This window comes from Homo sapiens, chromosome 3, assembly GCF_000001405.40.
Source record: "Homo sapiens chromosome 3, GRCh38.p14 Primary Assembly".
Lineage (NCBI taxonomy): Eukaryota > Metazoa > Chordata > Mammalia > Primates > Hominidae > Homo > Homo sapiens.
This window is the reverse complement of record NC_000003.12, coordinates 140383262-140397828: the sequence shown is the minus strand read 5'-3', so window position 1 is coordinate 140397828 and position 14567 is coordinate 140383262. Positions and strand designations below refer to the sequence as shown.

The window sequence follows — 14567 nt, the reverse complement described above, 5'->3', positions numbered from 1 at the left end:
AAAGATTCAAAGCACAAGAAACTTTTATGGATTTTAATGTAACAACGTGCAATGGACTGAATGTTTATGTTCTCCCAAGTTCATACATTGAAACCAAATCACCAAAGTGAAGGTATTAGGAGATGGAGCCTTTGGGAGTTAATTAGGTCATGATTTGTGCTCTTATAAAAGCCTCCAGAGAGATCCCTGTCCTCTTCAGCCATGTGAGGTTACAGTGAGAAGGTGCTATCTATGAGAAAATGGGCCCTCAAAAGACACTGAAGGTGTCAGTGCCTTGATCTTGGACTTCTCAGCCTCCAGAACTGTGAGAAATAAATTGTTGTTCTTTATAAGACACCACTCTAAGGTATTTCGTTACAGCAGCTTTAATGGTTGGAGACAGTGCATAAATTTAATGCAATTTCAGATTCGTTTTTACCTAATCTTTAAGAAATTATTATTTGTGGAGCTCTGGTGTACTATCAGAGAAGAATATCTATAACTTAATATTATCTACAATAATATTATTAAAATACCACTTCCTTTCCAACTACCTACCTGGGTGAGGTCATATTTTCTTCATATACTTCTACCTAAATAACATATCACAACAGGTTGAAGGCAATAAAAGATATGAGGACTTAGCTGTTTTCTATTAAGCTCAATATTAGGGACTGCAAAAATGTAAACAATGGCACTCTTCTCACTAATTTGTTTTTTTTTCCAAAAATATATCTTTTTTTGTCAAATTATGTTACTTGTGTTAATATGTATTGAGTTTATTGTTATTTTTTAAGTGAATGAACATTTGAAAGTTTCTCAGTTTTAATTTTTGATATAGTAAATATTGGACATGCAGATGTAGCCCACATAAAGAAAAACTCTTGAGAATCTTTAATAATATTTAAGAGTGTAAAGGGGTCATAAGACCAAAAAACATGAGAACTGCTGTTTTTACAATTTACCAATAATAGTGTCCCCCCAGCTCATAATTCCATACCCTGCTCCTGATGCTAAAAACATGACCCATCACCTTGCAGAGTGCTCCCAGCCTCAGAGCGGCTCAGTTTGCTTTGTATTCCACAGCTAGGCCTTTGTAGTAAGAGTAAGAAGAATTGCATGTCCACATAATAAATTGTTGGGGGGCTGGGGAAATTATTTCCACATCTCTATCCAAATCTGGCCCAGATGGGCTGGAATGAAATAGTTATGCAGTTAACTACCATGGGACTGTAGGGAAGTCACTTACCTCTCTGTGCCTGTTTCCTCATCTGTAAGTGGGATGGTATTAATAGTAGTTAACTCATAGGGTTATTGGTTATTGGGAGGATTAAATGAGTTAACATATGCTAAGCACTGTGTAATTGTTAGCTCTCTTCCCTGTTATTATATTGAAGAAAAGTCACACACCTCAGGCAAACTCCCTGTTCCTGTTTAAGAACTGAAAAGGCTGAAGGTAGAGATCATTTCAACATCAGAAATATTTTGAATGTCACATGTGTGACATTCAAACAATCTGACTCCTTGAAGCACCTTGCACCTATCAGCCACAGTTTATTACACACATTTTTTTCTCTGAATGACAACATCCTCTACATTTTCATAATCTCATCGAGGGCCAGCACTGCTCCCACGGGGAGAGTTTAGTGAGGGGGATGTTTTGTTTGACTGTTTTTGCTCATCGCAGTGATGGGGAATTGCTAATGGCATTCACTGGGCAAGAGTCAAGGTGCTAAATATCTTGCCCTAAGCAGATCAGTCGTATACTACCAAGAATCATCTCACTGCAGATGATTATAGGGTTCTTTTGAGAAACACTGAACTCAAAACATGAAGGCGGTCTTCCTGGAGCGAACACCTGGCCAAGTCTCTGCCTCCAGGTTTGAGGAAATAGCTGGCTCTTATAAAGCCTCTCCTTCAGATTGGTGAGGTCCCTCCAGACAGATTATGGTATCATCTGCTCTCAGCTGCACACTGTCCTCTCTAGTACACAGTTGGCAGACAGTCAACACTGACCACACTGCCAGAGGGCTGAGTGGATGAAGTTTTTAAAGTCCCTCTCTACATGGGATCATCTCTAGTCACTTTAAGTATAATAAGACAGGAAAGGAAAAGTGCCAATCACATCAAGAGGTAATCATGTCCAGAATATCACTTTAGGGCTGAATGTAGAAATAAATCCATATTGTAACAGAACATTGAGTTTAAACCCTCCCACTTCAGATGAAACACTTAAAATCTTCAAAAGTAGAAAGCTAAAGGGAAACATTTGCAGGATGTTACGTAGGGTGTTTCTTCACACATCTGGGTTGGGGATACTCGGACAGGCCCTGCTGAGTTCCATCTCTGCCCTTCTCAGCTGTGTGACCTTGGGTGGTTCTCAAGTTTCTCTTTATTACAGCTGAAGATACTACCATGCCTAATCCTGAAAGTTCCATGAGGCTACAATGACACACTAAACGTGGAAGAGATGTGGGAAGTATAAAGGTCTATCTACTTTTTATTATTACAATTATAATAAATCCTGCCTTCTGGCCTGCAAGCAGCTAGGTGCATAGTGATAACTTAACCTTGGTTCCCATTCAACCAAAGCAGGGGGAGGGGGCAGTTTTCACCATTTATACCTTTCTTTCTACTTAGAATTGAGCAAAATAAAACATATTATTTTATTTTAAAAGTCATTTTTCTAAAGCTTTGTGCCAAGATCAAAATCTCCCTCTTTTGGAAGATTAACAAAGCAGTTATTATGTTTCTGAAAAGCAAATAAAGGTGATTCTTTTTTTATTCTTTGGCAATATTTGTTGGGTGAATACATGACGTAAAAACTTATTTATATGCTGAGAGACTTGGAGAGGTCCCTCTGACTCAGCTAGTCATAATTTGGTCAAGTGGAACTTGAAATAATGGTCTGCCTGGTGCCCAGTGGTTCTGGAATTAAAGGAGTCCAAGTACAAAAACCTACTGTACTCATTCACTCAGCAAACCATCCCTGGACATAAATAATATAGTAAGAACAAAATGAATAATAATAACAATTTACAAAAATCACTGTAGTTCATACTTATTCAGTGTTTACTATGGGTCAGGCACTTATTTAGGGGAACAGTGAAAACAGCCTACATCGTTCTGTGCCCTGACCTGCCTGGGGCTGGAGATTTGGATGAATCAGAAACCACCTCCGTGTTTACAGACAGGAGAAGGAGGCAGATGGACAAAAAGTTAAGTGCAATGAAGTACTGCAAAGGCTGCAATAGGTGTTGTTTCTGGGTATTGTGAGAACACAGACAATGATGGCTTAATCTTGCCTCCTAAATACTTCCAGAATCAATTGCTTGCTGTCATGTAACCACCAGAGAAGTGCTGTAGCTGTAAGAAGGAAGGAGTTTCAGCTCCTGAAACTGATTCTGCTGAGACAAGGCCTTGTCCTCTGGACACTGTCATGTCCCTTTCTTTACAATGGCATTTCAGTGCTTCTATTTTAAGATATTGCAGGTAGTACAGGTCAGTGCCTAAAAGAAGGGTAAACCTGGATTCAAATCCCAACTCTTCATTTATCATCTTGATAAATTTGAAAATGAACCATACCTCCATCTTCTCATCTGTAAAATGGGAATAAAACCATTGTCCTATGGTCATCATACGACAATCAGAATAGAACTTTCTTTTTTGAAAAAACTGAGAATGTAGTAAGTCAGGGAGTGGGTTGAATGACTTATAAAAAGCTAGTTTAACTGTCAGACAGTTTTATGAGCAAGCCAGCACAAAGGGATGGCAGACCAGCCCAGACAGGCACTTCCCGGGTTCTGCTGTTGTGCCCTTTCCCTTTTTACAGACTCCCAGCCCTCCTGCTGATGCACTGGTTGATTCTGAGGTGCCCACCATTCTAGTCAGGTGTTGGAAGATTGCAAAGAGGAGGAAGAGAGCAATGAAAACACTTGGAAAAGGATGATGACTGACTTTGTAATATCTAAATTTTTAATATTTGCCAAGAGAGCATTTTAAACCCTATGTCTCAAGAAATACTGCCCTGGACCCAGTTACAAGATCTGGATAAATTGTTTTCCCACTGTCAAGCAGGAGTAGAGAATCTTATTAAACAAGGAAGGGATCTCATTTGCCCACAGCTCTCAGGTGATACATTAGTCAGACCCCTCCATGATCATTACCTAGATCCTACCTTGGTTAACTCTTACTTGTCCTTTAGGAAAATAATAGACATTGAAACACCTTGGAGAGTTAAAGAAGTCCCATACAAATATAATGGCCGTTTACCATGTCCGATTACCTCTGTCAACAACATCTCTGTAAGCAGCCACCTCCTGTAAGGAGGAATCTAGCAGGCATGGAGTTTCCCAGAAGCCCAAGACTCCATTCAGCGGGTTAAAGTTAAGTTTCAGAAACAGAAGCTACACATAGGCCCAAACAATTAAACGTATTTGAGGTTTTTGAGTGTCAATGAGCACTCAAGATATAGGGGCTGAATATTGCAGCCTCCTCAATTAACCAGAGGAAGACTTAATATTCACATAGAATTGGTGCAAATCATGCTGACAGGTAAAATCTTTGGAATCTCTCTCTCCCCATTTTTTCAGTGTCCAAACATGGGGCTGAGATGGGGCCCCAAAGTTGAACCAGTCAGAAGTTTACCCAAAGTCTGTTTGTCCTCATCTGCTATGGTTTGAATGTTTGTCCCCTCCAAAATTCATGTTGAAATTTAATCCCCAATGTGGCAGTGTTGAGAGGTGAGGCCTTTAAGAGGTGATTGGGTCGGGAGGGCTCTGCTAATTCATGGATTAATGAGTTAGCAGGTTATCATGGGCGTGGGACTGGGGGATTTATAAAAAGAAGAAAAGAGACTTGAATGACAACACTCAGCCTTCTTGTCATATTTATGCTTATGCTGTCTCAGGACTCTGCAGAGTCCCCACCGGCAAGAAGGGCCTCACCAGTTGTGGCCCCTCGACCATGGACTTCTCACCCTCCATAACTGTAAAAAAAAAATAAGTTCTTTTTTTTTAAAAAAAATTACCCAGTTTCAACTATTATATTATAAACACCAGGAAATCAGACTAAGACACCATCTACTTTTTAAATTTATTTTTTTCCTCTGCTTCCTTCTGAGTATTTCTCATCACTAGTGTCTTTAGGAACTTAGGCACAAATTGAAAACTCCTCCTCGAAAAATGACTTTTTTAATATTCTATGTCTGCACTCTTTAGTGCAGAAGCCACTAGCCAGAATGTGGTGTTGGAATGCTTGAAATGTGGCTAATATGACCAAGAAACTAGAGTTTAAACTTTATTTTTAAAAAATTTAAATTTAATAACACACTCAATTTAGTTACTGGAAAACTTTGAAGTATGTTTGGTTATGTGAATCAATTTTTCAACTATAAATTACATAAACTCTAAATATAGATCAAATATTTCTGATAAAAACCTAGAGTCCTATTTGAGATGTCTTAGACTGTAAAATATACACAGGATTTGAAAGACTTTTTAAACTAAAATTAGAATAGAAAATTTCTCATTAACAATTTTTTATTTGATAACATGTTGAAATAATAATATTGGATATTTTGGGGTTAAACAACATATATTACTGAAATCAATTTTACCTATTTCTTTTTTTTAAATGTGGCTACTAGATAATATATTACACAATTATTTGTATAATTTGAGTAATGTTTCTGTTGGATACTGCTGCTCTACCTAATCAACAGCACATATCATTAAAAGCTCATAGAAATAAATGTAAAGCAAAGAGGATACACTCTACAATAACTATAAAATTATTCTCTTTTATGCTCACTTTTGTTTTCTTGGCATTGTTTCTAATATTTAGGATAATGTTCCCTCTTAAAACAACAGTGGATTTGACCTTCTTTAGATGGTTAATTCACATTTAGCTTCAGTTCCCAAACTGCTGGTTATCAGGTCTTAAATGATCATCGCCTCTTAATAATTGCTTAGATGGTATTGTTATGGTATATAAAAATATTTTAAAAATTTAAAAACATTACATTTTAAAATAATAGCATCTTGGTCACTTTCAGAAATCCAGATGTATGTACTGAGAAATGGCTTTCACTGACTGACTATCAGCTAAGGTGGAAGTCTTTTGGCAATAGGGTTCTAGTTCATAATTTGCTTAGTCATTACATTATAATTCTTAAAAAAACTTAATATTGTAAAATAAATTTAATATTATATTAGTATTAGTTTAATAAAATCACTATAAATTATATATCGCATATCAAATCATATCATGTTAATATTCTTATTGCACTAGTTCTAACTAGAATAATTCAAATTCATATAAAATGTCATGTACTGCACATGTTTAAATGAAATCTGGGGATAGAGAGCAAGCAAAGTGACCTGGGGAGTTCAGCCTCTGCTGTGGATGAGTAAGCACACTGACCTTCTCACAATAACATCACAAACCTGGAAAAATACCCGCCCCTCCCGCCCACCCCCCCACGCAAATAGTGAAGGGCTCTAGACAGTGATTAAAAATAGGCAGATGTTGGTGGGGGAGCTGAAACCTGGAGGAAGCTACTAGGGATGGATGAGTTTTTTGTTTTGATCCTTTGCCCTGAGGGCAGCTGCAACCCCGTGGTACAGCGTGGAGGCTAAAACTTTGATAGAAAGCCTGTTGTCTTTCTAGCAGGTAAACAGGATTGCCTGAGTGTGAGAGTAGAATCCTGGAGAGAAGATAGCCAGGGAAGGGGAGGCCCAAACTCTGTGTTTAAACCGTTTCCAAGTCTCTGGCTGCCCCCAGTCCCCTGCATGTGGGGACAGACTGCCAGCCTTTTGAACCGAGACCAGAACTGCTGCCCATGGCAGGCAAAAAGACAATTTGCAGTTTGAGTTTAACCAAGTTAATGGTCTGTTAAAACAAAACATTACTAATTTTTGAAGGACTATGACAATTCAGAGTGTTTTCATTATAACAATTCAAAATATCCAGGATACAGTTCAAACTTACTTGACATGTGAAGAGCCAAGAAATAGGACCTTTTCCTAAGGGAAAAAGACAACAGAGGTCACCCCTGAGATAACTCAGATGTTTGGATTCTCAAATGAGTACATTAAATAAGTTCTCATTGGTATGTTCAAAACACTTGAAGGAGAAATGGATAGAGTTAAAGGGAGAAATAGACACTCCACAATCATAAAGAATAAGGCATGAAGTGATCAAGAAAGTAATGGATAATATAAATAACACTATCACCATTTTGTCCCAACTGATATGTATAGAATACTACATCCAACTGCAGAATTCACATTTATTTCTATCTCACATGTTATGTTCATAAAGACCATATGCTGGGACATAAAACAAGTCTCAATCAATTTAAAAGGCTTAAAATATGCAGAATATATTCTCTGACCACAATGGAAATAAATCAGAAATCAATAAAGAGATCTAGAAAAACTTTAGATATTTGTAAATTAAACAGTACACGTTTAAAAGAATCATGGATCAGAGGAAAAATTAAAAGAAAAATGAAAAAATAATTAGAACTGAAGATAATACAAACACTACATCTCAAAATTTGTGGGATGCAGTCAATTCTGTGCTTAGAGAGAAATTCATAGCTTTAAAAGCATGTATTATAAAAGAAAGAGAATATAAAATCAAGAAGCTAGAAAGAGAAAAGCAAAGTAAACCTAAAGTAAGTAAACACAAAACTTATTATCATATTTAAGTAATATGCTAAGGAATTTGAATATGTTATGTATTTTTTTTTTTTAAGAAACCTTTCCTTAAAGAAAAGTCCAGGCCCAGATGGCTTCATTGGTGAATTCTATCACATTCAAAAACAAAATAACATTAATCATACATAATTTGTTTTTAGAAAATAGAGGAAAGAATGGTTTTTAACTCTTTTTAAGAGGCTAGCATTACCCTAATACCAAAATCTGTCACAGATATCAAAGTAAAGAAAATTAGCTACAACATCATCGATCATTAGAGAAATGCAAATCAAAACCACAATGTGATACCATCTCATGCAAGTCAAAATAGATATTAAAAGGTCAAGAAACAACAGATGCTGATGAGGTTGTGAAGAAATAGGAATGCTTTAATCTGTTGGTGGAATATAAATCAGTCCAACCACTGTGGAAGACAGTGTGGTGATTCCTCAAAGACCTAGAACCAGAAACACCATTTGACCCAGCAATCCCATTACTGGGTATATACCCAAAGGAATATAAATCATTCTATTATAAAGACACAGGCATGTGTATGTTCACTGCAGCACTATTCACAATAACAAAGACACGGAATCAACTCAAATCCCCATCAATGATAGACTGGATAAAGAAAATACATATACACCATGGAATACTATGCAGCCAAAAAGAGGGAAAAGATCATGTCCTTTGCAGGGACATGGATGGAGCTGGAAGCTATTATCTTCAGCAAACTAACACAGGAACACAAAACCAAACACCATATGTTCTCACTTATAAGTGGGAGCTGAACAATGAGAACACATGGACATGGGGAGGGGAACAACACACACTGGGGCCTGTCAGGGGTGTGGGAGGAGGGAGCACGTCAGAATAAATATCTAATGCATGTGGGGCTTAATACCTGGGTGATAGGTTGATAGATACAGCAAACCACCATGGCACATGTTTACCTATGTAACAAACTTGCACTTCCTGCACATGTATCCCAGAACTTAAAGTAGAAAGAAAATTAAAGAGCTCTATTTGTCATGAACATAGATATAAAAATCCTTAATAATACATGTTAGCAAATTTAATTCAACTCTATAAAAGGGATTATGAGTAAGTAGGATTTACCACAGAAACACAAGATTCCATCTAATTAATCACATTAACAGGATAAAAGAGAAAAACTATATGGTCATTTCAACAGATGCAAAAAACAGTTTGCCAAAAGTTAACATTCATATATAATAACATCTCTCAGTAAATTGGTAACTTGTTCAACCTAATAAAGGGTATATATGAGAAACCTACAGCTAACATTAATGGTGAAATATTAGATACTTCCTTCCTAAGATCAGGAACAAGTCAGGATGCCAGCTCTCACCACTTAATAGCCCTTGAATACTTAATATGTGCCAAGTACTATGTCAATGGCTTTACAGCAACCTTTGTGCAAGTGCCAAGTTCTCTTCCATTATACAGAGAAGGAGACTGAAGCACAGAGAGGCGAAGAAACTTGCCCAATGTCATGAAATAATCATAAGCCAAAATTTGAATTCAGGTCTCCCTGCCTTTAGAGTCCACCTCTTAACCACAACTGTCTTCTCAGTAGTATAATAATAATTACCATTATAGGAATCTAAAGGGAGAGTAGAAGCTTCTGTGCCTGGCTTTTTCTTTACACGTTACCCTCTACAGGCTCAGATGCAAAAATAACTGCTGATGTTTGTCCACTGGGGACAAAGCAGACAGGCTAAATAACACACAGTTTATAGGAGATGCTAGAGAGTTGCTGTGTGATTTATGTATCTCCATCAAAGGTGCCATGCTCTCCATCAATAGCCATATTCAAATTACAATGGTATTTTCCTCCTAAAAGTGAGTCTAACTTGCTCATTTTCATTATTTACAGTCAGTTAATTAAAAACCCAGCAGATATTTATTTTGCTCCTTTCACATCACCAGTGATTTCTTGCTGCCGCACTTTCACAGCATTACAGTTTTATGACTCAACACAGCCTGTAGTGGGTTTCTTATGGTTGTATCTCCATTACTTTAATTTCAGGCAAGACGTTAAACCACGGCAAGATTTCAGCTACTGCTGGTGAAGCGTGAGAAGCAATCGTGGTGCTTGTCGATATGAAAGAGTAGACACCACCAAATTATACAGCAAGGAATAGAACCCAGTCCCTTCAATAGGGAGAATGAGTGGTTGGCTCTTGGACTGGTGAATGAATGATCGCAAGTGTTATACTGGCCAGAAACAAAAAATCTGAATCATTCAACCATTCCATTATCTCCCAATTATGGAGAAGGAATTGCTATACCAAAATGTAGCCCACGTCTACTATGACATTTCTAAAAAAGCAAAGCTTTTATTATTAAATCATGTAAATTTTGAAATTCACTCCATAAAGTGCTAAATATCTTTTAATTTGAAGTTAATTCTATTTTACCCTTGTATCTTTGAGTATAATTAGAATTCTAAGAAAATGTGTGATGTTTTTCTGTAACCCCATACCTGCTTGACAAGGGCCACTTCGGGCAGAGAGAAGTCCTGCTCTGAAATTGCTGGTTTAAGGTTAGAACATCAGGGACCCAGTTGGCAAAGAATGAGCCAAATTTTTTATCTGGAAATTAAGGAGGAACAACAAACACTATTAACAAGCAGGCTTTTGCAATTTATCGCAAATAGGAACCTGTGGAAGCAGAAAGGCTCACAGGCTGCCCAATGGAGAGGTTAGTAAACTGCTGTTATAGCCACCAGTAGCCTTTGTTGCCAAGAAAATAAGCCATCCTACATGCTCTTCATCAACTAACAGAGAATTCTCTCTTATAGCTACCAGAAGAACTCCTACACAAGCTTCAAAATCCAGCATAAACACAATCTCTTCTAAGAAGCCTGCTCTGGCTTCTCAAGCCAAGGTCTCAGTGGAGATCTCCTTGATGCTCCACTGTGCCCCCTGCTCTCCTCCTACCCATGCTTTTCTTCCTGCATTTTCAATTGTGTTCACCCATCTTTTTTCTCCTCAGAGCTCCATGAGGCAAGAATCTGTACTTCCTCATCTCATCTCCCTGACTTCACAGCCCACACCTATGTTAAGTTATGCCTTAAGCTAGGCCGTAAAGTTGGTTGGGTGTAGAAAAGACTAAATTTTAGTAAGTTTAGGAGAAGCACTGTTGTAAGGTACTCGGATGTGCTTTGGTCAAGGTTAGGCCAAGGCAGACATCCAGGTCTGCATGACTCAGCAAGTTTAGGGCACAGGCGCATACTCCAAATGTTATATAACCTGCTTGTGTAAGTTCATACTTGGCTTGGAGCTACTATTGTCTGTAAAAATTATAGCTGCCCTGCTGACACTGTGCACAGGCCTTGGCTCTTGGGTATGGCTCAACATGGCTCTTGTGCAGGTGCTGGTGCCCAGAGAAAGGGAGAGAGAGATTGAGAACCAGAGCTGTCCATCTTGCAGATGGACAGAGGGGAGACAGAGCATGGCTCAGCACAGCACAGCACAGCATGGCACAGCTTGTTCTCACACCCAGAGAGAGAAAGAGTTAAGCTGCTGACCCTGAAGGCAGGGGAGAGCTGGCTGCACAGCTGTGTGTGGGAGCGACCAGCTCAAGCAGCTGAGACAGGGCGGACAGTGTGAGAAAGCTGCTGATGAGATAGTGTGAGAGAGCTGTTAATCAGAGAGCTGCTGAATACAACTACATTTCATCTGCTTACAGCCCCTCAAGTGTTATTTCAGCCATTGCCTATCCATCCACTCCCATTGGACCTCAGCATGAACCGGACCCTAACACTGGACCCTGGCATTTGGGTTTAACAAAGTTATACTGGCTAAGACCAGAGTCTTTGGAATTGTAATTGGAATGACTTGGTTTCAAGTACCAGCGGCAGCATTTCTATCTTTGTGACCTTGGCCAAAGTACGTTAACTTCTCCTGTCTCAATCTTCTCAGGCACAGGATGGGAGTAATAACAGATTATACTGTATTGGGCTATTGTGAAGTTTAAAGTCAAGAAGGCAAAATGCCTAAAGCACTTTGCATAATGCTGGCATGAAGAAAGTACATAGTAAAGGTTGGTGATTGATAACATGAATGGTGGCACCTTCATGCTGAAGGTGAAACTCATGTTCTTATGGTTTTGACTTCATAGGAGGGAATGACCCTCAGAGCAGATCACTGTCCAGTGTCAGATCCAAATAGGGCCATTTCTGGACTCCTGCCTCCGTGCTTCTCTTTGCCAGCTGTCAAGTTTCAGCTCCTTTAGCCAGCCTCATTTCAAGGTCTGTCTGGCCCCTGCCCCAGACCCCTGCCCTAGACCCCAGCTTGCTTCTCAGGCCTTGTGCAGTGAGTAATTAGAATTCTAAGAAAACGTGTGATGTTTATCTGTAACCCCATACCTGCTTGACAAGGGCCTCTTCAGGCAGAGAGAAGCCCCGCTCTGAAATTGCTGGTTTAAGGTTAGAACATCAGGGGCCGGGCGCGGTGGCTCACGGCTGTAATCCCAGTACTTTGGGAGGCTGAGGCAGGCAGATCATGAAGTCAGGAGATCAAGACCATCCTGGATAACACGGTGAAACCCCGTCTCTACTAAAAATACAACAACAACAAAAAATTAGCCAGGCGTGGTGGTGGGCACCTGTAGTCCCAGCTACTTGGGAAGCTGAGGCAGGAGAATGGCGTGAACCCGGGAGGAGGAGTTTACAGCGAGTCGAGATCGCACCACTGCACTCCAGCCTGGGCGACAGCGAGACGCCATCTCAGATAAAAAAAAAAAAAAAAAAAAAAAAAAAGAACATCAGGGACCCAACTGGCAATGAATGAGCCAAATTTCTAATCTTTTGAGCCATCATGAGAGTGAGCCGTCTCATGGATCCCATACTATGAACCAAGATGCTTCTTAGGTGTGAGACCTTATGTAAGCTAAGGGGTTTCCCCTGGCTTACTTCTGCCTTAGTAACACAGCTGGATACACTGCTTAGTCTTCCCAAATTCACTGCCAGTCACTGAGCACACTGACTACATGATCTCTCACCCTACCACCAACCCTGCTGCTCAGGGTTTTCAAACAATTTGACAGATGAGTCAAAAGAGGCACAGAGCAACTGGATGAGTTGTTCAAGGTCACACTAGGATTTGCCCACTTCTTTTCTGGCTCTGGTGCCCACACACTAAACCAAGCTGCCCGTGAAATTGATGAACAATGGCAGGTGCAAAAGATCCCATATTTCCACTCCTTGACAAGTCTCACCCATAACCCCAAAATTGCAAGTTCCCAAATGTTCATGTGGGGAACCCCAAAGGGGAACAGGAATATTTTAAATGTTTAATTCAAGTTAAAGAAAGTGTCAGGAAAATCCATATTTTGAGCTGAAGAAGAAAGACAAATGACAGCCCAATCAATACTACAGGAGTATATGGACTCTTTTACTGTTCTGTCAATTCTTGGAGCTAATAAGTCAGCATCTCAGGGCACAGTTTCATACTTTAAAACAAAAGTTCAGAGGCCTGCTTCCTGTCAGGTGTGACTCCAGCATTCATTCTCATCCGAGTGAGTGGAAAATGAAGGGACTTTCTTAAACATGCACCAGGCGACCCCTGGGCACCTCTCATCAAGGCTAGGACTGGTCAGCTGATAACAAGCACCTTCGATATGACTGGCTAATTCTTCATTGCATTGTCATCAATACTGCTGACAACCCCCACAGAAGGCATGCTGACTGAAATGTTAAATCAAACTCGGAGGGGAAGTTTGAAAATCAATTTTAGGTTCCTGCAGAAAAGACCAGGGAGGATAATTAAGACTCATAACTCCCAGCTTCATTTTCATTTTCTAATTCTGGAGCAAAATAAAACGATTATTTGCTAGGAAATCAGCTGGAGCAGGAATGAAATGGTGGAGTGGAACGTGCTCCCTGGGCTGTGAGCCATGATGGCCAAGGCATTCCCAGTTCGGGGACATGCACTCCAGTGAGACAGCCTATCAGCCAACTGCCTCACAACAACTTTCATTTTCTTTTCATGTACCTTTTATTTTTTTCTGTTGGCAACAAAAAGCCAATGTAAACGTGAAAGGTTGGCTGCTTCCAAGTTTACAGTAAATAACTTGAAAGAGCTGTAGATTACCTAGGCCCTGGGTGTCAGGAGCTAATGCATTCTAAATGTAACCCGTTTCCAGCAGAGCCAAACCCTGCTTTGACATTTTCCTTCACAGTACGTGGATATTGGTATTACAGGTGCTTTGCTCTATCCCTAATTTGCCTATTGTGATTTCCACAGACCAGCAATGCTAATAGGATGCTTCATTTCCCCACTGGGCCAATGTGAGATAAATTATAGCCACACGGTCCATCTCACTGTATGGTAAATACCCTTATGCTACCTCTTACTTTTCATGCAAAATATATTTGGATGCATTTCACTTTTCAAGCTGCCTAGAAGTGGGAAGAGAGATGGAATTCCCTCCTCTCTCTATATAGTGGATATTTGTAGAAGGCCCAGGATAATTTAATTCCCTGCCCCCAGCAGCAAAGGTCACATGTTTATACTATCCCCAGTAAGATCTGAAATTCTGTATACCTCAGAAAAATAAAATTGACAGAAGTCATTTTGTAGCTGCTCAGAATTACCTATGTTTTTATTGATTGGGGAGTCTGCATGGTATGTTTTTGCACAAATTTATCAGCTGTTTGGCAAATAGTATTTGGTCCAGAACTTCCACGATAAGCTTAGAATTCAATCACTTAAATCTTTCCTCACTTGCCCTTCTCTCAGCCAATCAAACTCAAGCACAGAATATTAGAAATAATTAATGGGCACCCATTATATACCAGGCAGTTCAAAGAAGGTAAAGAAATATGACCACATCTCTGTGCTTTAAGGTGACATC

At 39.4% G+C, this 14567-nt stretch overlaps 1 protein-coding gene across 2 annotated transcripts in view, besides 1 other annotated feature; it reads right to left on the bottom strand.

Moving 5' to 3' along the window:
* The window catches only part of CLSTN2 (calsyntenin 2), a 642213-nt gene that overhangs the window by 179569 nt on the left and 448077 nt on the right, over positions 1-14567 (bottom strand). The window lies entirely within an intron of this gene.
* Positions 10390-11589: an enhancer, noted in NCBI's record as "BRD4-independent group 4 enhancer chr3:140105082-140106281 (GRCh37/hg19 assembly coordinates)". NCBI's record gives its function as "activates an origin of replication core promoter dependent on BRD2, P300/CBP, MED14 and CDK7 cofactors, and independent of BRD4, by STARR-seq in HCT116 cells {active_cell/tissue: HCT116}" and the evidence as "EXISTENCE:reporter gene assay evidence [ECO:0000049][PMID:35650434]".